This window comes from Homo sapiens, chromosome 3, assembly GCF_000001405.40.
Source record: "Homo sapiens chromosome 3, GRCh38.p14 Primary Assembly".
NCBI lineage: Eukaryota > Metazoa > Chordata > Mammalia > Primates > Hominidae > Homo > Homo sapiens.
In genome coordinates, this window is record NC_000003.12 from 158435684 (window position 1) to 158460842 (window position 25159).

The 25159-nt window shown below is 34.8% G+C and overlaps 1 protein-coding gene across 5 annotated transcripts in view; it reads left to right on the top strand.

Moving 5' to 3' along the window:
* Positions 1 to 25159, top strand: part of RSRC1 (arginine and serine rich coiled-coil 1) — a 435642-nt gene that overhangs the window by 325595 nt on the left and 84888 nt on the right. The window lies entirely within an intron of this gene.

Here is a 25159-nt window from a genome sequence, read left to right on the forward strand (position 1 = left end):
CCTAAATGAATTTTTTAGTAAGGGAAGACTTTACGCTTAGAAAATTGTAGATAAGCATGTTTATACATGAGTGCAGATATATAAAACGTACATCTTCTAGTTAAAACATACATCTTTTAACTAGAAGATGAGGTTTTAACTTCTTTTAACTAGAAGATGTGTGTTTTATATATCCACACATATATCTTAAAAAGAGAAGTTTTGAGGAGTTATGCCAGATTTTATATCTGAATATTAATATTCATATGGCTAGAATGGAATGTACTAATTAATGTAATTTTTTGAGACACTGATAAATCTCAGAATGTCCTTTCTTGTCTTAAATGTTTCTAAAACATTTAAGTAACATGAACAGAATTAAATCTTTAATGTATTAACATTCCTCAGAGTCATCATTTTGTGAGTTAATTTTTACTTTAGTTCAATAAACATTTATCGAGGAGCTAATGAGCCATGTCTGATATGACACTATGCTAAAATCAGTAAGATATCGGACCTCAAGTAGTTGGCAGTCTAGTGGGGAAGAAAGACACTTGTTCAATTGGCTATAGTAGAAAAATACAGTTTTCTCAGACCTAAGAGGAGGAATTAATGTGGACTGAGATAATAGGGCAATGCATCATGGAGCAACAATTAGTGTTGTTGAATATTATGAGTGTAGATAAAGCAAGTATGAACTACAGAGCTAAATTTGTAGTTGTGACACAGCATCTCCAGAAACTTTAAAAATATATATATATATCTTCTCAAATTATAAAGTGAAAAAGATTCAGCAGTAGTCTGCTTAAAAGTACATGTGCCCACACGTGCATGCATGCACACATACATATATACACACCAGATTCTATACAATTTCTCGGAAATATTGGAGAAACCACTTTACATATACTTAGTACATATTTCCCTAAATGAAATTTTGTTGTAAGAAAAGGATTCATTACTAGAAATTTGTACATTGATTTTTTAAGTGTACAAATTATATCATAAATAGAACAGACACATGCATTTTAAACAATAATTACTATATTTAAAAGCTAATATCTATAAAGGTATATAGATAATATTGTATATTTTATATAAATACAATATGCTACCCTGGGCTATAATACTATTGTGAGTGGTTGGCATATATGAACTCATTCAACTTTTACAATAACCCTGTGGCTTATGATGGAAGTATTATTATCAATACAATTTCAGATGAGTTAACTAAGACACAGAGAGATTAAGATACTTGTTGCAGATCTCATAGCTAGTAATGGATAGAGCCAGGATTCAAACCGAGACAGTCTGGCTTCAGAATCCATTCTTTAAATATCTCTGCTATAATACCTCATAGTAATTCATTTTATGGCTAGATTAATAGATAATTCTATAGAAGAGGCCATATTGAAGAAACGTCTTCCAATTCTTTTTATAGATGTACACACACACAAAAAAAAAAACCTTTGGATGGGGATCTGAAGAATATACTATCCTACCAAATTCCCGGGGTAGTGTGTTATATGTAACCAGAAATCAGTATAAATAAGTAATATTTTGCTATTTGCTATTTTGATGGAATAAGTGTTTTCACCTATTATAGCTTATTTTCTCACAAGTATTTTATTTCCTTTTCTAAAATTGAAAATGGTTTAATAATGGTTAATTTAGTAAGCACACATTGGCACTGGGCTGAGTTTTGAGGAGGCAAATGTGAATAAGAAACAAATATGTTAAATAAATGGTTACAGTATAACTGGCAAACCGAATCCAGCAGCACCTCAAAAAGCTTATTGACCATGATCAAGTCAGCTTCATCCCTGGGATGCAAGGCTGGTTCAACATATGCAAATCAATAAACGGAATCCATCACATAAACAGAACCAGTGACAAAAACCACATAATTATCTCCATAGTGCAGAAAAGGCCTTCAATAAAATTCAACAGCTCTTCATGCTAAACACTCTCAGTACACTAGGTATTGATGGAACATATCTCAAAATAAAATAATAAGAGCTATTTATGACAAACTCACAGCCAATATCATACTGAACGGGCAAAAACTGGAAGCATTCCCTTTGAAAGCCAGCACAAGACAAGGATGCCCTCTCTCACCACTCCTACTCAACATAGTGTTGGAAGTGCTGGCCAGGGCAATCAGGCAAAAGAAAGAAATAAAGGGTATTCAATTAGAAAAAGAGGAAGTCAAATTGTCCCTGTTTACAGATGACATGACTGTATATTTAGAAAACTCCATCATCTCAGCCCAAAATCTCCTTCAGCTGATAAACAACTTCAGCAAAGTCTCAGGATACAAAATCAATGTGCGAAAATCACAAGCATTCCTATACACCAGTAACAGACAAACAGAGAGCCAAATCATGAGTGAACTCCCATTCACAATTGCTACAAAGAGAATAAAATACCTAGGAATCCAACTTACAAGGGATGTGAAGGACCTCTTCAAGGAGAACTACAAACCACTGCTCAAGGAAATAAGAGAGGACACAAACCAGTGGAAGAATATTTCATGCTCATGGATAGAAAGAATCAATGTCATGAAAATGGCCACACTGTCCAAGGTAATTTATAGATACAATGCCATCCCCATCAAGCTGCCAATGACTTTCTTCACAGAATTGGAAAAAACTACTTTAGAGTTCATATGGAACCAAAAAGGAAACCACATAGCCAAGACAATCCTAAGCAAAAAGAACAAAGCTGGAGGTATCATGCTACCTGACTTCAAACTATAATACAAGGCTACAGTAACCAAAACAGCGTGATACTGGTACCAAAACAGATATATAGACCAATAGAACAGAACAGAGGCCACAGAAATAACACCACACATCTACAACCATCTGATCTTTGACAAACCTGACAAAAACAAGCAATGGGGAAAGGATTCCCTATTTAATAAATGGTGCTGGGAAAACTGGCTAGCCATATGTAGAAAGCTGAAACTGGATCACTTCCTTACACCATATACAAAAATTAATTCAAGATGGATTAAAGACCTAAATGTTAGACCTAAAACCATAAAAACCCTAGAAGAAAACCTAGGCATTACCATTCAGGACATAGGCATGGGCAAGGACTTCATGTCTAAAACAGCAAAAGCAATGGCAACAAAAGCCAGAATTGACAAATGGGATCTAATTAAACTAAAGAGCTTCTGCACAGCAAAAGAAACTACTATCGGAGTGACAGGCAACCTACAGAATAGGAAAATTTTTTGCAATCTACTCATCTGACAAAGGGCTAATATCCAGAATCTACAATGAACTCCAACAAATTTATAAGAAAAAAACAACCCCATCAAAAAGTGGGCGAAGGATATGAAGAGGCACTTCTCAAAAGAAGACATTTATGCAGCCAAAAGACACATGAAAAAATGCTCATCATCACTGGCCATCAGAGAAATGCAAATCAAAACCACAATGAGATACCATCTCACACCAGTTAGAATGGCGATCATTAAAAAGTCAGGAAACAACAGGTGCTGGAGAGGATGTGGAGAAATAGGAACACTTTTACACTGTTGGTGGGAGTGTAAATTAGTTCAACCATTGTGGAAGACAGTGTGGCAATTCCTCAAGGATCTAGAACTAGAAATACCATTTGACCCAGCAATCCCATTACTAGGTATCTACCCAAAGGACTATAAATCATGCTGCTATAAAGACACATGCACACATGTGTTTATTGCGGCACTATTCACAATAGCAAAGACTTGGAACCAACCCAAATGTCCATCAATGATAGACTGGATAAAGAAAATATGGCACATATACACCATGGAATACTATGCAGCCATAAAAAAGGAGGAGTTCATGTCCTTTGTAGGGACATGGATGAAGCTGGAAACCATCATTCTCAGGAAACTATCGCAAGGACAGAAAACCAAACACCTGATGTTCTCACTTATAGGTGGGAGTTGAACAATGAGAACACATGGACACAGGACGGGGAACATCACACACTGGGGCCTGTTGTGGGGTGGGGGGCTAGGAGAGGGATAGCATTAGGAGAAATACCTGATGTAAATGTTGAGTTGATGGGTGCAGCAAACCAACATGGCACATGTATACCTATGTAACAAACCTGCACGTTGTGCACATGTACCCTAGAACTTGAAGTACAATAAAAATTTAAAAATAATAAAAAAAGGTTACAGTGTGATAGGACTACTGCCAAAGTGCATGTACGACAAGAGCAACTAGCTCTGTCTAGAGTTAAGAAGAGAGACTCAAAAATTGTAGTATTTCAAGAGTAAGTAATGCCTTCCAAACCTAGAGCACAAAAAAGGCAAGGGGAGGGAGAGCACTGGGACAAATACCTAATGCATGCGGTGCTTAAAATCTGGATGATGGGTTGATAGGTGCAGCAAACTACCATGGCACGTGTATACCTATGTAACAAACCTGCACGTTCTACTCATGTGTCCCAGAACTTAAAATAAAATTTTTTAAAAAGGCACATAATTGTGAAAGAGTGTGGTATATGTAGCAAGTTGGAAAAAGTTCTTCGTGTTTGAAGTGTAAAGGATATGAGATGAAGTGGCAGACTGGGAAAAATGAGTGAGAACCACTTGGTGAAGGATCTCGTAGGTCATGCTAAGGAAAATGAGATTTTCTGATTGTTCTTAGAGAGCCCTTTCTTGGAAAGATGATTGCTTCTAATGAACCTGCATTGCACAGATGATGCTGTTCCAAGTCAATACCTCTGAGAAAAGTAGTCTAAATTTCTTTGCTTAGTTTTCAGTCTCCAGGGGATCTTTGGACAAGATAAAGAAGTAGTTCAGGCATACCTTTCCCAAACGAACCAAAATTATTGAAAATTTAAATTATTGAAATTTACATTTTAATTAAGCTGTTATCTATAAATCTCCCAATTTCTGCTTAAAAGTACATTTGCCCACACATGCACGTGTGCACACACACACAAATCCACACCAGATTCTATAGCATGTTTCAGAAATATTAGAGAAACCAGTTGGGCGCAGTGGCTCATGCCTGTAATTCCAGCACTTTGGGAGGCTGAGGTGGGTGGATCACCTGAGGTCAGGAGTTTGAAACCAACCTGACGAACATGGTGAAACCCCATCTCTAATAAATATACAAAATTAGCTGGGTGTGGTGGCGCTGCCTGTAATCCCAGCTACTTGGGAGGCCGAGGTAGGAGAATTGCTTGAACCCAGGAGGCAGAGCTTGCAGAGACCCGAGATCACCCCATTGCATTCCAGCCTGGGCAACATGAGCAAAACTCCATCTCATAAGAAAAAAAATGAAAGAAAATAAATATTAGAGAAATCACTTTCAGGTGTTTGAAGTGAAATCTCTTGCATGGTTTTATGTTTTTATTAATCGTACATAAGCATTCAGCTGCTTAACTTATAGGTCTTAATTTTTAATAATGTTATTAAATGGCCCAAAAAGAATAATGTATCTGTCTGCTTCTCCTACAGTCTGTTGGAATGTTAACAAATGGAATGATAGGACAATTTCTATGATTCTCTAAATCTGGGTTATGAAGTGTATCTTTACTTTCTGACTTCTTGGCAGTATTCATTGAGTCATATATTAAGCATCTGTTGTTTAGCAATATATTGAGTACTAGGGTTAAACAGATGAGCTGAAGAGACAAAGTCTACTAAAACGTTTTGAAGATCTACGATCTTATCTTGGCAAAATACAAACAAAGACTTTTTTAAATATATTGGCAACAAGATATTAACAAAAGAAAGAACCAAACACCCAAGGTATTGTGCTATCAGTAGGGTTTTTTTTTTATTTTTGGAGCAAGAATATTCCTGCATCCTGGATCATGAGGCCCATAATAACATGATTAAGATTTGGGGTCACAAGATGTGTTATTTAACAGATAATCTCTCCAATTCCTAATAAACTTGTGTATTCTCTTCTGTTATTCTCAAGTAATACTTCTCAAAGTGTAGAACCTAGAACTGCAACATTAGCATCACATGGAACTTGTTAAAAATGCAAAATCTCAGAATACAGCAATACAGTAGAAGAATTATAACTTGTGTGCATCTGATAACACAACTTCAGGATACATAAAGCAAAATTGACACGATTGTGAGGATAAACTGTGAATCTTGTCACCATGGTGAGAGAAGTATTAAACTAAACAACAAACTTACAGTATGCTCTAGTGAATACAAAGGACCCTGAACTCAAGATTTAGGGAATATACAGGCATACTTCAGAGATACTGTGGGTTTGATTCCAGACCACCACAACAAAGCAAATGCCACAGTAATGCAAATCACAAATTTTTTGATTTCCCTACCAGTGCATATAAAAGTTATGTTTATACTGTACTGTAGTCTATTAAGTGTATAATAGCATTGTCTAAAAAACAATGTACATGACTTAATTAAAAAATATTTTATTACTAAAACATGCTGACAAGTCATCTGAGCCTTTAGTGAGGAGGGTCTCACCTTGATGTTTATGGCTGCCCATTGATGAGGGTGGCGGTTGCTGAAGGTTGGGATGGCTGTGGCAGTTTCTTAAAATAAGACAGTGAAGTTTGCAATGATTGACTCTTTCATAAAATATTTCTCTGTAACATGCAATGCTATTAGATAGCATTTTACCCACGGTAGAATTTCTTTCAACATTGGAGTCAATCCTCTCAAACTGTGTTGCTGCTTTATCAACTAAGTTTTTGTATAATACTCTAAATCATTTGTTGTCATTTTTAACAATGTCCCCAACATCTTTAACAGGAGTATATTCCATCTAAGGAACAATTTTTTTTGTTAATACTTAAGAAGCAATTTCTCATCCCTTCAGGTTCAGTCACATCTTCATGCTCCACTTCTAATTCTAGTTCTCTTGCTATTTTTACCACAAACTGCAGTTACATCCTCCACTGAAGTCTTGAGCCCTTCAAAATCATCCATGAGGGGTTTGAAGCTACTTCTTCCAAACCCCTGTTAATGTTGCTATTTTGACCTCCTCCCAGGAATCACAAATGTTCTTAATGGCATTTAGAATGGCAAAATCCTTTCCAGAAGGTTTTCATTTACTTTGGAAGTCCATCAGAGGACTTTCAAGTCTTATTGTTTAAGAAATACATTTTATAGGGCTATAGCTGCCATAGCCCTAGAAAATGTATTTCTTAAACAGTAAGACTTGGAAGTCAATTTTTCTGTGATCTGTGGGCTGCAAAATGAATGTTCTGTTAGCAGGCGTGAAAACAGCATTAATCCTCTTGTATGTCTCCATCAAAGCTCTTGGGTGACCAGGTATACTGTCAATAAGCAATAATATTTTAAAAGAAATCTTTTTTTTCTGAGCAACAGATCTCAACAGTGGGCTTCAAATAATCATAAACCATGCTATAAACAGCTGTGCTGTTATCCAAGCTTTGTTGTTCCATTTATAGAGCACAGGCAGAGTAGATTTAGCATCATTCTTAAGGACCCTTAGATTGTTAGAATGAGAAATGAGCCCTGGCTTCAAGCTTAAAGTCACCAGCTGCGTTAGCCCCTGACACGAGAGTCAGCTTGTCCTTTGAAGCTTTGACACCAGGCATTGACTTCCTCTCTCTACCTATGACAATCCTAGATGGCATCTTCTTTCCTAGAAAGCGGTTTTGTCTGCATTGAAAATCTGTCATTTAGCGTAGCCGCCTTCATCAATGATCTTAGCTAGATCTTCTGGATCACTTGCAGCAGCCTTTCCATCAGCATTGCTGCTTCACCTTGCACTTTTATGTTATGAAGATTACTTCTTTCCTTAAACCTCACAAGCCAACTTCTGATAGCTTTAGACTTTTCTTCAGCAGCTTCCTCACCTCTGTCAGCCTTCACAGAATTTAAGAAAGTTAGGACTTTGCTCTGGATTAGGCTTTTGGCTAAGCTTAATGGTATGGCTGGTTTAATTTTCTACCTAGACCACTCAAACTTTGTCCCTATCAGCAATAAGGATGTTTCACTTTCTTACCATTTATGTGTTCACTTGAGTAGCACTTTTAATTTCTATCAAGAACTTTTCCTTTGCATTCACAATGTGTTGCACTATTTGGCACAAGAGGCCTATCTTTTCCCTCATCTCAGCTTTTGACATGCGTTCTCACTAAGCTTAGTCATTTCTGGCTTTTCATATGAAGTGAGAGATGTGTGGCTCTTCCTTTCACTTGAACACTCAAAGGCTATTGTAGGGTTGCTGATGGGCCTTATTTCAGTATTGTTGTGTCTCAGGGAACAGAGAGGTACAGGGAGAGGGCAAGAGACAGAGGAACAGCCAGTTGGTGGCACAGTCAGAAAACACACATACACTTATCAATTAAGTTAATTGCCCTATATGGGCCTGGTTTGTGGCATCCCAAAACACAGCAGTAGCATCAAAAATCACTGATCACAGGTGACAGATATCAACAGATGTAATAATAGCTAAAAAGCTTAAAGTATTGTCAGAATTACCAAAATGTGTCTTCACAGAATTGGAAAAAACTACTTTAAACTTCATATGGAGCCAAAAATGAGCCCACATTGCCAAGACAATCCTAAGCCAAAAGAACAAAGCTGGAGGCATCACACTACCTGACTTCAAACTATACTACAACGCTACAGTAACCAAAACAGCAAGGTACTGGCACCAAAACAGAGATATAGACCAATGGAACAGAACAGAACCCTCAGAAATAATACCACACATCTACAACCATCTGATCTTTGGCAAACCTGACAAAAACAAGCAATGGGGAAAGGATTCCCTATTTAATAAATGGTGCTGGGAAAACTGGCTAGCCATATATAGAAGGCTGAAACTGGATCGCTTCCTTACACCATATACAAAAAGTAAGTCAAGATGGATTAAAGACTTAAATATTAGACCTAAAACCATAAAAACCCTAGAAGAAAACCTAGGCAATACCATTCAGGACGTAGGCATGGGCAAGGACTTCATGTCTAAAACAGCAAAAGCAATGGCAACAAAAGCCAAAATTGACAAATGGGATCTAATTAAACTAAAGAGCTTCTACACAGCAAAAGAAACTACCATCAGAGTGAACAGGCAACCTGCAGAGTAGGAAAATTTTTTGCAATCTACTCATCTGACAAAGGGCTAATATCCAGAATCTACAAAGAACTCAAACAAATTTACAAGAAAAAAACAACCCCATCAACAAATGGGCGAAGGATATGAACAGACACTTCTCAAAAGAAGACATTTATGCAGCCAAAAGACACATGAAAAAATGCTCATCATCACTGGCCATCAGAAAAATGCAAATCAAAACCACAATGAGATACCATCTCACACCAGTTAGAATGGCAATCATTAAAAAGTCAGGAAACAACAGGTGCTGGAGAGGATGTGGAGAAATAGGAACACTTTTACACTGTTGGTGGGACTGTAAACTAGTTCAACCATTGTGAAAGACAGTGTGGCGATTCCTCAAGGATCTAGAACTAGAAATACCATTTGACCCAGCCATCCCATTACTGGGTGTATACCCAAAGGAATATAAATCATGCTACTATAAAGACATATGCACGGGTATGTTTATTGCGGCACTATTCACAATAGCAAAGACTTGGAACAAACCCAGATGTCCATCAGTGATAGACTGGATTAAGACAATGTGGCACATACACCCCATGAAATACTATGCAGCCATAAAAAAGGGTGAGTTCATGTCCTTTGTAGGGACATGGATGAAGCTGGAAACCATCATTCTCAGCAAACTATCGCAAGGACAAAAAACCAAACACCACATGTTCTCACTCATAGGTGGGAATTGAACAATGAGAACACTTGTTCACAGGAAGGGGAACCTCACACACCGGGGCATGTCGTGGGGTGGGGGTAGCGGGGAGGGACAGCATTAGGAGATACACCTAACATAAATGACGAGTTAATGGGTGCGGCACACCAACATGGCACATGTATATATATGTAACAAACCTGCATGTTGTGCACATGTACCCTCGAACTTATAACAACAACAACAACAACGAAAAAAACGAAGTATGCCTACACAGTTTTTCCAAGTACCAATTAAACATTTCCAAAATGGACCATTTTTTAATAAAGCAAATCTAAACAGGCCAATGATTATTAATAGACTATATTCTTTGATCCTTATGAAATTAAATCAGAACATCAATGTAAACAATATAAATAAAGTTTAAAGCATTCTTCTGAGTAACTCATGGGTTCACCAAAAAAATCACATTGGGATAAATATATTTAAAATTCTGTGTTTCTAAATAAACAGTTTGAGATTTTTTTAAAAAACAAAATCTTGACCATATTCAGCCGTCAGTCTGTTTTGCAAACTTTCCATTTGATGCTGACACATGCTGAAGTTTGAGATCTACCGCCCTAAAGTACCATAATTAATGCCTACTTGAAAATATCTATTAATAGCAACAAAATAGATGATAAAATATTGATAATGATTAATACTAAGCCAGGAAAATTACAAGTAGTATCTGTTTTTAAATGCAGAGTTGATAAATACCATATTCAGTTTTAGAGGGCAGATTTTCACTCTCATAGCCTAATAAAATAACTAAGATCTTCATTTTATTATTTAATTTGATTCTGCTTTTATTTTCTGATGTTGTTGCAAGGTTTTTTTTGTTTAAACTCTGCCATATAGAATTGAAATGAGAGAAATTTCAAGAGTACTATACTGTGTTACTTTTTTTGGATATATGATTTTTTTCTGTTTGATATATTTTTATTGCCTATAAAATATGTGGATTTAAAGGTCTTGTTATCATCAAAACCATTTCAAGTATGCTGAAAACCTATATATTTTTATATATAGTGTTTTATTAATGAAATACATTGACTTACTAGTAAAAATTTGCCTGTAATAGAAAGAAATGCATTTGAAATTTCTTATATATTGTGTTTCTTATTTATTTTTAATCCAGGAAAATTTTATAATAATTATTTTCATGATCTTCAACTTGTTTGTATTCAGTTGTTTGTATGTGGGACTGAATTTAGTTACTTGAGTGCCGACATAGATTTTGATTATGATTTTTAAATACCAGTTTTTCTTATCTCTTCTACCTTAAGCTGCCATTACTATTGCTTAATTCATCCTTCATGTGAAAGAACAGAACGTGCCTCTTCATTAACAGGCTAGTAAAGGTCATATGTTGGTTCCCTTTACAGTTTACCCTGGAGAGTAAATGCAACAGTTTCATTATGTGCCTAGTTTTTACAGATCTAGGGGAAAACAAAACTCAAAGATTGCTCCAAAACCAGGTCACACATGCAGGGTGCTACAATGTGTCATCCAACGAAACTTGCATTATTAATTTTGAATTATATTTGCTGTATTCTTTAACTAGTAGGGGTATCCCAACTAGTAGGGCCATGATACAACTCTTCAGTCTGAATGTGGTATATTAAAAGTGCATTTAAAACATGCTTTTAACAGGATTAAATCGAGGCATGGCATAAAGCTCCTTTGGGGAAAATTTGTGGATTCAGCAGTGGAAGTCTGCATTTTATCAGAAGTGTTAGCCTTTTTAGTATAGAGGGTGTATATATTATAACACTGATAGCAAGCCATTGGTCTTAGACTTAAATGATGAGTCTCTCAAATCAGGCAACCAAAATTATGATGTACTTAAATATTGAGCATTTCATATTCCTGAAAGAAAAGTCAACTTCAGAATATTAATTTATTAATAACATAATTATTTGCTTTCATCCTTATTTTACAATGGGATTTTATTCCTAATCTTTCTGACTTCATAATTAAACTTTAACAAAAATAAATTAACTATAATTAGAAACACTAGTAGAATTAGATTTGTTTTATATGTTATTTCCACACAGTTTTTAAAAAGCCATGATAGTAATGAAAAGAAGAGCAGACAGAACTGTTATAACTCTTGACTCACTCACTTCTTTGGTATGTAATCTTAAGCAAATTATTAAGCCTCTCTGAAACTTTTTGATGATTATATGAAAGTATCTTAAAGTACTTAGCACAGTGTCTGACACATAGATGTAGGCCAGCATAAGTTGTTTCCTTTCATGAATTGAAGCTAAGAAAACACATGATATAAATAAAAATATGTAATTCTGTTTTTAAGAAAAGAAACACCCTTTTTAATGCAATAATAATGTAAAAATTAGGAAAAGAAATGACTTTTTCGATATCAGAAACTATCACATCCCATCCTTGATTTCTGAGGTATATAATTAATTATTTCTGGATTTTCGTTCTTATTTTTAAAAAGATTGCTTACCAATAGTTACTCTTTAAAAAATATATATACATTGATAGAATGTTTGGAGTTACTGAAGAAAATAAGCATTATAAATCATTTAGTGGAGTCTAAGATATGATTTTTTTTCACAAGGAATAATTCTGTAGCTCCAAACCCCAGAGTTTTTCTAAAATGCTGAAACATCTGTCTTGGAATGGGAGTTATCATAGTGGCCAAACCGACTTCAAATTGACATCAAGTTGATGTATATGCTGTAAGTCGAAGGAACACAGAATGATGAAATTATTTTTATTTTCCATATCAGCATTCTGTAAAAAAGAAAAAACAATCCAGTAGTGCCTTTCTTTGAGAGAATAAATATCACAGCACTATCCTGTGTTGTTATTGGATGTTTTCAATTTTTTTTACTTTTATTCTTGTATTGTAGTACATGGCATCTTAATTACTGTAGCCAAGCAGTTTATTCAGGTTATAAAAAAATGTTGGGTAAGCATCAGACAGCAGCAGGACTGGAGAAGATACATATAAGCATGTACAAAGATACATATAAGCAAAAGGCTTATACAAAAGGCTGTAAGACCTTACGCATTTAAAAAAACTATCAGCTATTCACTTTTTATCTCAAATTTTAATTGAATTTGTTGATTTCTTCCTTGTCATTAGAATGCTTATGGTTCTAGCAGAAAAGTTGGGAAGAAAAATGCCTATTCAGGTGAAGAACATTAGGATATACTGCATACAGCTGAATTAGACCAGCACATCTGTTGGACATACTTAGTGTGTCACTCAGCAGTGAAATAGATTATCAAAGCTTTTCTAATAAGTGACATAGAAAATTCCCCAACAATAAAAAGAAAGAGCACATGAAGTAAATCTTTGCTAGTTTGGGTAATGTTTAAAGCCTATGTGGGCCATAAGATTTAAGAAAATCTAGAAGACGTGACACAGAATAAAATAGTAAAGGAAAAAGCTTTTACTTTTGGAACTGTTATAAAGTTTACAAAAGGGGATTTGATGTAAAAGCAAATGAAACTCATTCAATATGCTCCAACTATTTATATTCTCACATTAGTGCTTTAAAAAGTAGAAGATAATATAAAGATACCATATCATTTTGTAGTTTAGATTTGTCATGCTCATTCAGCCCACATTTTTCATTTTTCAATATCATCATTTATTACTAGTATTATTTCTAACAATTTGCAGAAATAAACATAATCGATCTTTTGAGTAATATATAACTTAAAGCACGAGATGCAACAAATCATTTCTAGACTTGAGAAAAATTATTCTTATAGTTTCAGTGTCTCTAAACATCCAAAGGAGAACTTAAAAAAAAATTTAATAATGAAATATCTTTATCCCTCTTAGAATCTGAGTTAGGGAAGAAATGAAAATACGGTTGCTGAAACCATTGTACTAGATTAGCATTTCCTGAAATGTATTCTTTGTTTATTTATGTTACAGGAGAAGAATAGTTTTTTGGAAAATAAAGTTGGGAAACATAGACTAAGTTAAATAATTCTCTTTACTGCAGAATGTCTGAGAGCTTTAAATTTGCAGATAAGCATAGTGGCTCTCCATGAGGGAGGATTCTGTATTGTGTTGCCCAATCTTATTCCACTGTGGAACCTTGTTTAAATGGAGAATCGTGAGAAATTTGTGTTCTGTGCAATATGCTGTGAGTAATACTGGGCCAGAGGATCTTTATATATATATATTTTTATTATTATACTTTAAGTTCTAGGGTACATGTGCACAACGTGCAAGTTTGTTACATATGTATACATGTTTCCTTCTAACTACAGACATTTACATTTTTCTGAGACTTGACTGCACTGAATATGATTTGTGCCGTAATTTCTTTCTTGAGTTCTAGTCATTTTGAATTGGTAAATTCTCCCTGGCAGTAGATGGCACCCTCTGGGGACATATAGCTGTCCTCGGTTAAGTGTCCCTTGGATTATATGGAAACATACCTCCTGGTTTCCTACTACTGCTTATTCTAAGGCCCTTCTAAACTGGTTCATTGCAACTATAATTGACGTGTCCTCCTGGCTAAGTTTTCCTACAAAAGGTGCTTAAGTATCATCCCCTCCTAGATGTCTTCCCTGACCATATTCCTTTCCTTAATTGCTTTCAGAATACCTGTATACAGGGGTTTGTTTTTCCATTTCCCCTTGTAGTTCATGCCTTCTTCATCTTTCCATCCTCAGCATTTAGCTCAGTGATTAGGAACAATGATAAGGAGCACAGTATTCTGCTGAGGAATTTTCTAGGTTATCTGTTTTATGCTTTGTAAATCTGTTTTGAGTGGACAAATGAAGAAACTAACAAAAAATAACTTACTTGTAAGGTTATCCGATGAAAGTTTTTATTTTTGGAGCATTTGCTGATAATAAACCATGGCTTTCTTTTTTGCTTTTTTTTTTTTTTTGCTTTTACACAGCCAGTCTTTGCACTGGCTGTGTAATAATTGCAATTTCATATTTGTAAAATAATTTTTCAGTTGTAGTTACTATGGACGCATATGGTGTTTGAGGCAGATACAGAATAATCATTTCCAATATTGGACATGACTAAACATTTTTACCTGTACATTTGTATTGCTGGCATTTAATGGTATAAATTGGTGAGGAATAAGAACTTAACGGATTTCACTTCTGTGCTGTGCATGTAAAGAATGAGGCAGAGGTACCTGAGGAGAGCTGATATTATGACCATAGTTTTATAGTCTTTATATATGCAGAAGTAGCAGCTATGTCCATATGTAAATTTTTAATGAATTTGATAATTATTACTAATGAGTTTTTAGGTTATCTGTTGTTCTGAGGTCTAGATAAAACTCAGTAAAAACTATATGAGAAAACCTTAAACACCGTGGCCTATTATGCTTTTTTAACATTATATATTTTATGTTAATTATATTTTTTCTCCAAAAATCATTCTTTACAGTTTCTTTTTATTTACAGTAGCTTACTATTGTGTTCTAAATGTTGTTGTTTTCTATTGTTATTTGAAAGTTCACATCCAGAAAGTCTTGGGTATACTCTTTTTAAATATATAAGAACTAATTAGGCTTTTGCAATTGTGATGTTCTTAGTAATTATATTTCCTTGAGTTCAAAATTTTTCTGCTTTTCTCAGTCAAGTTGTAAATTTATAATTATTTACTGTGAGGTATGTATGCCACTCCTTAGTCCAGAATAATATTATTTGTCACATGTTTCTATATATTTCTTCTTATATAACTAAGTTCATCTCCTTTTTCCTTTTAGTTGCTGATAACTAAAAGTTGTTTTCTCCATACTAACAGCATGACACTTTTTTCCTGCTGAGACATTAAAAATAACAAAAAGTACTGATGTTTGCTACCAGATGGCCTGATAGATTTGGAAAATTGATTCAGCATTTACTGCTTTGTACTTGGGAGGAGCTGATATTATAACTATTATTATATAGTCTTTAAATATACACAAACAGCAGCTATGTTAATATGTAAAATTTTTAATGAATTTGACATAGTTATAACTAGTGAGTTTGGGGGGTATCTGCAGACACTTATTATTGCTCTTTTCTTTCCGGTGTGACCTAGAAAGAGACCCTGGCACTTCAGTCACCTGGTTTTTGCTCTCTATGTTAAATTACAACTGCCTTAGTACTTAACATGAAACTTCAAAGGAAATGAAATCCTAAATGTAAATATCCCCTTTCTATCTTTGTTTATTATCTCAAAACACATAGCATACAAACTCATAATGCCTTTATTCAGACACTTTCTTAACTGGAGGAACTGTTCACTCCAGTGGTGCTTTTTAGAGACATGGGAATTATTGAAGCATGGTAATATAACATATGGGAATTAGAATTACATTAAATAGAACCACTAATCACTATACCACTTTAGGTGAGCTACTGTATTTTAGAAAATGAGGAAGAAACTTTAGAAAATGAGGAAGAAACATTATTGAATGTTTCCCCAGTCCCAAAGGCTCATGGGATTTAATAGTGTTTTCAAGAGAAACTCACTAGATACATTTTCTAATGCCATCTTAAATATATGAGACAAATAGGCATATCTTGATGATTGTTACAAAGCAAGAGACTTTTTGGATTTTCTGTGATTTTGAATAAAGTATATTCAGATAAAAGTTTCCCCATAAATAGTGACATGTGCATGGAAGCAATAAATTATTCCCTTATTTTGATTACTGTTTGCTTCCAGGTGAATAAATATGTAAGAAACAAGATAAAAAGAGCATTAAATTAATATTAAACTGTGATTCACAGGCTCTGTGTATTGGTCATTCTGACCATTGACAAATTATTTAATTTTCGTGGGCCTTTCATTTGTTCACTAATACTATACACATAGTAATGACTTATGTAGATAAAATATTCATACTTAGAAATTATTGGAAAATAGTACTTGTCAGCTTATACTGTATCTTTTTTACTCACACTGATTTTTAAAACATGACAATATTTAAACTGAATGAACATGAGAAAGAATAAGATGTCAGAAAATGTTCTTACATGTATTTTGATGACTAATCCAATAAAGTTTACACATATGTGAAATGATAGGATGAGCAGTGCTGGATATATTACTGGTGTTGTGATTACAAATCTTGCCAGTTTGCAATCATTGCTTAAAATATTTTGACACAGCAGTGTTTGTGAAATGCCATAGTGTCTTGGTCATTGTCTTAGTGTTAATGTGGAAAGTACTAAGAATTATAACAAATTGAAATAAGCAAAAATACATTTTGCTAGATGTTTTTATTTACAGTTAATTAGAACATTTCTTGCTTGGCCCCCAGATTTATATTAGAGCATCACGAAACTTCTTCAAAACTTGAGAGTATAATTTTCTTAACTTTGTAGATGGAATATTGGAGTTCATGTGTATTTTTAAATACAGGTAATAAAGTGGAAAAAGTGTGACCACTGCAGTTGGGTAGAAGCCCTGCTGTGCCACATTCTAGTTAGGCAAGTAAACTAGTAGTTCTCCATGCATGCTTTCTGCCCTCTTTCTATGCATTTATATACATACACTTACGTACTTTGGTTTTTTTAGTAAATGAGATATGCTACATATGGTTATTTAACTTGCTTTTTTATTTAATATTTGTCTTGAAAATCTTTCCATATTAATATATATCAGGCCATCTTATTCTTTTTAGTGGCTTTTGTATTTCATAATATTGCACTGTGTTTAGCCTCTTCCATATTTAGGTTGTTTGCTTTTTTGTCATTACAAATAGTGCTGTGCCTTGTGTATATATTTTCAAACTCCTGTGCACACATTTTCAAACTCTTGTGCACACATTTTCAAACTCTTGTGCACACATTTTCAAACTCTTGTGCACACATATCTATAGAATAGGCTCCTACAAGTGGGATTGCTTGATGCAGGGTATATGTATTTTCAATTTTGTCAGATAGGCCAAAAGTCTGTGTAGCCCGGAACCTTTTTTTTTTTTTTTCGAGTCGGAGTATTGCTCTGTCACCCAGGCTGGAGTGCAGTTTTGGGATTCTAGCTCACTGCAGCCTCAAACTCCTGGGCTCAAGCAATTCTCCTGCTTCAGCCTCCCAAGTAGCTGTGACTTCAGGCACATGCCACCAAGCCTGGCTAATTTTAAAATATTTTTCATAGAAACAGGGTCTCACCATGTTGTCCAGGCTGGTCTCAAACTCCTGGCCTCAATTGATCCTCCCAAAGTGCTGAAATACAGGTGTGAGCCACCACACCTCACCAGCGTTTTGAATAAAAGCTTATCTTTTTAACCTTTTCGGGTTCTCTTCTTCTTCTTAATTCCCCGCAGAAAATTACTGATTTCCTCTAGATTTTCTAATGTATGGCCCTGTGGCTTTTAAATGTTTATGTTTGTGTGTATGTGTATTTACTTTTTAAAATTTCTTCTGCATCTCTAATTGTGTCACTTTACTAATTTCTTATGAATTTTATTACAGTCTTTTTTTCCTTGATTAGACTTTCTAAAGGCTTGTCTATTTTTGAGCAATTTGATGAGTTTGATTAAATATAAACTATTCTTTTCTTTCTTTGTGAGTAACCTATTTTTTTCTCCAGGTGTTCTTGAATGCTTTTTGGTATTTCTTGGTATTTCACAGTTTCACCACAATTTGCTTATGTGTATCTACTTTGCATTTTCTCAGGTTCTCTTTGCAACCTGAGAAACTGTGCCTTTCTAAAGTTCTGAGGAAATCTATTTATATTATGTCTTTGATTATATCTTCCCTCCATTCTTTCTTTTAATTAAGAACTTCTCTTTGATAGATGTTAGAACATATAGATCTTTCTTCTGTCCTAACTCTATGACCTTGAAAATTTTTTTTAACTTCTCTGTTTTTCAGTTTCCTCATCTGTAAAATGGGGGTAATAATTGTAACTATGTCATAGAATCATTTTGAGAATTCAGTGAAATATATACACATGTACAAACACTAAGGTACATAGTAAACATTCAATAAATGTTAACTTCAATAATGATAATATTGTCACTTAACTTTTTTTGTAAGCCTCTTTACATTCAGGGAAAATTCGTTGGTAAGATCTTCTAACACATTCATTTAGTCTTCAACTGTATTCATTCTGTTCATTTCATGTATGGAGTTCTCTTTTGATGGTCAAAATTTAGTTACCAAGATGCAATCAGTATCTTCCCACATCGCATTAAGGATGTTATTTACAGTGATAGTGATTCCAAAAACTTCTGTTTACCTTATTAACCAATTCCTCTACTTAATTGTTTTATGGTGTTATTGTTGTTTGTGTTGTTCTTGTTTGTTGTATCTCTTTCGTAAGATTGGTTTACCTCAACTGCCTGGTAATTCTAGGTTGGTTGTTCATCTTTATATTTGACAATCCCTGTAATCCTGTCATTTCAATTCATTGTGCCCTGTCTCCATTGATTGTGTCAGTAGCAAAATGTGTTGTTGGTACTGACATACTGGTAGGTTGTCATGACTTTTAGGGGTCAGTAATTACCTGCCCTTGCCTCACTGGCTCCAGCACCTCTTATACTCACCACATTTACCTGTTGTCAAACACTGCCTGCACCCCTACTTATCACATACAAGGGAGGTACCATTGTTTTGCTGCTTTAATAATAATTCAGTTTGATATTTGCCCCAAGGCTATCTCCTGTGCTTGGTATCCATTGACTCTAAAATTAGAACATTCCTAGAACTTTTTCCATGTTTGTATAGTCATCTGAACGTGATTGGGCTTTGATTTCCTCTAATCATTTTTCTATGCTTTTGTTCTCATCTGCTTTCTGTTTAAGAATTTCTCAACATTTGCAGTATATTCATGGTGATGCAGTATCAAAGACTGGGCTACATATAGAAAACAACTTTGGGATGAGGGTTGTTAAAGCCCTGTAAAGAGATTTTTCCCTGAAAATATTAATACAGCCTTTTCTGAAACGGCATGAGTCGGACACCCTGTCAGTATTTTCCAATTCTTGATTTGATGATTCACAGCCATAGGGTATATAAAATACTTCCCCAAATCATTTAAAATCTAACTTTAGCAAACAGCTACAATAATTGAAAAAGCCAATCCCCTATGGAATTTTAAAAATAAAATTGGTAAAGATGTGAATAAATTCTGGTGATATACTACCAGTGACACATCCTGAATCATGCCCTGATTAGCCCCTTGTCACCTCTGCAGCTGTTCTTCTGATCTCCATCATCCAAGTGAAACAGCCATGGAGGGATTCTTTTCTGAAAGGAGACTTCACTTTGGAAGGGGCAACATGGCCTGGTGCGGTGGCTTACGCCTGTAATCCCAGCACTTTGGGAGGCCGAGACAAGCGGATCACCTGAGGTCAGGAGTTCACGACCAGCCTGGCCAACATGGGGAAACCCCATCTCTACTGAAAATACAAAAATTAGCTGGGCATGGTGGTGCATGCCTGTAATCCCAGCTACTCGAGAGGCTGAGGCAGGAGAATCGCTTGAACCCAGGAAGCAGAGGTTGCAGTGAGCCAAGATCTTGACATTGCACTCCAGCCTGGGGGACAGAGCAAGACTCCATCTCAAAAAAAAAAAAAAAAAAAAAAAAAAAAAAAAAAAGGAGCAACACAATTTTTGTATTAATTTTCTAAATCCTTTTCGTTCATTCGTTTAGGAAACATTCCTTGAACACCTGCTGTATTAGGCAAAGTGGACATAACAAACAACCCCAAAACTTCATTGCCTTAAAATAATATACATGTGTTTTTTGCTCATGTCACAGTATAATGCAAGTCATGAGGAACGCACTTCTTGCAGAATTTAGAGACCAGATTCCTTTAACCTTGTGGTTTGCCCTTTTTGAGTCCTTGATTGAACCAGTAGATGGGGAAAGAGGGTGAGGATTACGTGAGGGTTTTTTTTTTTTTTTAATAGGCCAGCTGTGGAAACAGTATACACATCACTTAGGCTCACATTCCATTAGCCCAAACTCAGGTAAACAGCCACACTTAAGTGCCTGGGAGACTAGAAAATGTAGTCTGGCTAAAGATACATGAAGTAAACACTGACAATTTCTGTCACAACTACTATGCGCCCAGCTCTCAAGGAGACAAGTATATGTTCTTCAGTGAAGAGAATAAAGTGCTGTACATCCCATAAAGAGGGTATTAAAGTACCTATGGAAAAAAGAAGCAACAGTTTTATCCACTTGGGGACAAAGGTTGTTGATTGGGGAAGGCTTCACAGAAGAGAGTGATATTTGAAGTAAAACTTTCTGGTAGGATTTTTTCAGCAAGAAAGTGAGAATGGGCACCCCAGCAGTAACAAAGGTATAGCAATTCAAACAAAAGGTACTGTGGCCCAGCAAGGCTAGATTATATAGATCCTTGGAGTGAGAAAGGAGAAGTAGTAAGTGATGACATTGAAAGGTTACATTGAGATCAGGCTGTGAAGCACTTTTTTAAAATTTTTTTAAATTCATACATAATAGTTGTATGAAGGGTTTTAAATGGTATGTGAAGGATTTTAGGGGTGTGCGTGTGTGTGTACATGTGTGTATGCAGCAAGGCACCCTCAAGTATTTTTAGCAGACAGTGACATCATATTTGGATTTTAGAAAGGTACATTTATTTATTTAACAATTATTGAACATATCTGTGTCCTAAATACTGTGCTTACTGCTAAGGATACACAACACTAAACATGTTCCTCATTCTGGTGGTAATATGGAGGGTTCATTGGAAGTACTCGTATTAGAAGTACAGAGATCAAATAGGAGCTCCTTTCTTGTTCAAAGTAAAAAGAAATGAGGTCCCGAATGTGAGTATTGGCAATGAAATGGAAAGGAATGAATGGATTCTAGATATAATTTGTGGAGTTGGATCCAAAAGAACTGCTGGTTCCGGTACAATCAGCTGGTACTGCATAAGGATAAGAGTTGAAGGAAAATGTTGCAGAGGTTTTCAATCTGAGAGATTAGTTGGCTGGTGAAAATAGGACATACTAAGGGAAGAGCATCAGGTTTGAGAGATAGATTGTGAGTTCAACTGTGGATGTGATTTTGAAATATCTGTTTGGCAGTGTCCAGGAAGTAATTGGAAAAAAACAGTTCTGGTGATCAGGAGAGGGACCATAGATAGGTATGGCTATGATAGACATATGTGTTACAATTTAGACCTATATACAGCCCAAGAATAGAACGCCAAGAAGGCACAGGTGAGCAAAAGAAACAGCAGCCCAAAAAGGCTGACAAATAATTATCAGAATTAGGAGAGCATTTCCAGAAAGATGTGGTTGGTTCACTGTTTTTTTGTTTTTCGTTTTTTGTGTTTTGTGTTTTTTTTTGTTTTTTTTTTTTGTTTGTTTTTTAATATATATATGGGATAAAACTGAGTAACCTAAATTTGGCTCTTACAGACTTTGGGAGGACCACTGAAAATGCTATGGGGGCAAAAGCTGGTGGGAACAAGAAAAGGCAGTAGCTTGGTTAAAAGAAGAGTAAATGTTTTACAGGATTTGTGAGACTTTAATATATTTATAGTCTGAGGGTAGGGAAGAGAGTTTGAACCTTAAGCAAACAGAATCCTGAAGGGTATGAAAAGGAATATGTTCTAAAGTGCAAATGGGTGGGTTTACTTTCCAAAACAAGCCAAAGAAGGATTGATGAACGTAAAAGTTTGGAGTCACATGGCAGTGAGTCTGAGAAAATATAAGGGAGTGTGGGGAGTTGGTATGGGGTTATTGCCATTTGTAGTAAAGACAGCATAGTAAGTTGTAGGAAATGAAAATGGACACTAACTATGGATGCTGACTAAGGAGGAGCAATATAAAAACATCCATGTTAATTTCTAAAATATTGGTTTTTGGTAGAGTCAATAAATAGCATGTATACACTGTTTCATAGGGAGCCTCTGCAGCAAAAATAGAAAAAAATGGTCAAATGTGTTATAGGTTGTTACAAAATTAATTACAGTTTTTGCTATTTTAATGGCAAAAACCATTAAAATAGCAAAAACTGCAATTACTAAAAATGGCAAAAACCGCAATTACTTTTGCACTAACTTAATAGCAACAGCTTAGCAAAACAACAGAGGAAGTAGGATGTCTATAAGCATGGAATAGAAATGACTTTCTTGGCGTCCAGGGTGGGTAGTGAAGGAAGCGAAGCCTAGAGGGGACAGTTAGCCGGGGAGAGTGGAAGAACCAAGGGACTGGAACTTGTGTACAAGATTAGTAAAAGATGTAATTACTTTGGTAAATGAAGTGCTTAATAGTAGATCTGGTATCCGAACAGGATCATGAATCATTAGAGCAGGTCTGACCACTTGTTCGTTATGCTCTTTGGTGTCAAATTTCATGGCACATCTAGTAAGATTCAGTATCCCTGTTTGTAAAATGGGATTGCCACCTTTTTGAGAATACAAAAATTTGCAGAATAAATTAAATCACATATGAATGCCATGAGTTCTTCCTTTATTCACACTTAAATCATAATATTATAAAGCAGTCAGAAAGACAAAAAGAACATTTTTTCCAGATTTCCTTAATAGTCAATGAGGAGTTTATCCTAAGGACTCAATTTAAGTAATTGTTCCCTTCAAGTGAACTCAGATTCTTTATGGAGGACATACTGATTGTTGGTAAAATTTTCAAGTGTGTGCTTTTAAGATTAATTATTATCTATACTATTTCAACATAATTCAAAAGATTTTCTATTTATGCACATGTACACACAGACATATATTTGGAGCTCTTGATTGACAGTTTGAAGCTCAATTACATAAAATATTTAACCACAGCACCAGAGCCATTTGCAGTTTAAAAAAAACATATAAAATAATATTCCTATGAATTGTCCATGTATAGCAACAAATCAGTAAGAAAGGATAAACTAGCATAGTGAAATAGATAAATCAGATTTAGGCAGGCTAGTTTATTGAATTTAAATTGTGCCCAGTTGGCCCAAGAGCTATATATAAGCAATCCATCTTACGTTGTTAATGGAGGTTCTTGAAATCCACCTGATGTTTGCATTATTAAATTTCAGTCTAATGAGCCCTGCTAATACATATTGAAGATGGTTGTAAGGAGTAGAATGTGAATCTGAGCGGGATAATTTGAAAGAAACATAAGCTGAGCATTTTACATGACTCAAGGGGTATATCTACAATTACACATATAACCAAAATTGAATTTAAATGGAATTTCTATTATCCTTGTCCTTCTACCAGGGAGAATAAAGTGTAAATGAAGTAAAAGTCTTTAGAGTTACTGGTGGTTTGTTTTTATTATCTAATTTAATAGATTCTTGCAATGATATGGAGTGGCATAAAAGTTTTAATATTTCATGACTTTAAATGCAGTCTAAGTATATATAAAAGCTTGTAAATGGAAACAGATGTCTGTGTAATTGGATATAGTACTTCATAACACCATTATATAAGTTTTATACTTTAAGAAAGTGTCAATATTAATGGTAAAGAAAAATCAAACTTTGAAGAAAAATAGTTTTGTGTGTGACATATATTTTATATAAATTTCCCCTTTAAGCCAGTCATTATACTTCTAAAGGATGTGTTGATTTTGCATAGGAAAAATATATGCAGCAAAAAATTGAAGAGTAAGAAGGTTTATTTTTTAAATCACAGTTTACATTGCTATTATTATTATAATAAAGGCTCATCCAAAGTTTAATGCTGGCACAGTTTGATTCTTTTTCTTTTGACAAGGCAATACTTTTTTAACTTAATATTTCATCAACTATAATGCTATTAGAGACTTATTTTCACTTAGTTCACTCATCAGGCAGTGAGACGGCAATAAAGGAGAATCGCTCCTTTGAGACATTAATGCTTTGGAATAAATGATGTGCTAGAACAGAAATTTAATTAATTTACAGAGTATATTGATAGTCCCTTGTTACTGTGCTGTATATTTTTAATCTTCCTCAACATCTGTAGTAAAGTGTTTGAAAACCCCTGCAGTTGAGCAACTAGTAGATAATTAAGTAATAAGGGAAGAGGTTTCTAGAGGGAAAGAGATTCTTTTAACCAAATGCTGTCATAACATGAATAAAGAACCACTACTATGATGTGCAATGAACAAAAAAGTATGCTACCTAATTTGATACTGTTCCATAGGTATTGCAAGCTTCTTACATTTAAAGTGCGAACTGTACCTTAAGAACTTTCCTCCAAAATTTAAAACAAATGCATTACACTGATACATCAGATGACTTTTAATGACAAACAACTTTTCCCAATTCATATGTCATCATTTAAATGTGTCTTGCTTAAATTCATTTTCCCTTTAGTACAGAGATTGTCTTGAATGAAGCTTCAAAAATTATAAATAAATATTCTGAATATTTATTCTGAATAAAGAATATAAAATATGTATTTCAGATGTTCAACTGCCTTGTTTCTTTCTTGTGATTACTTCGTGGAAA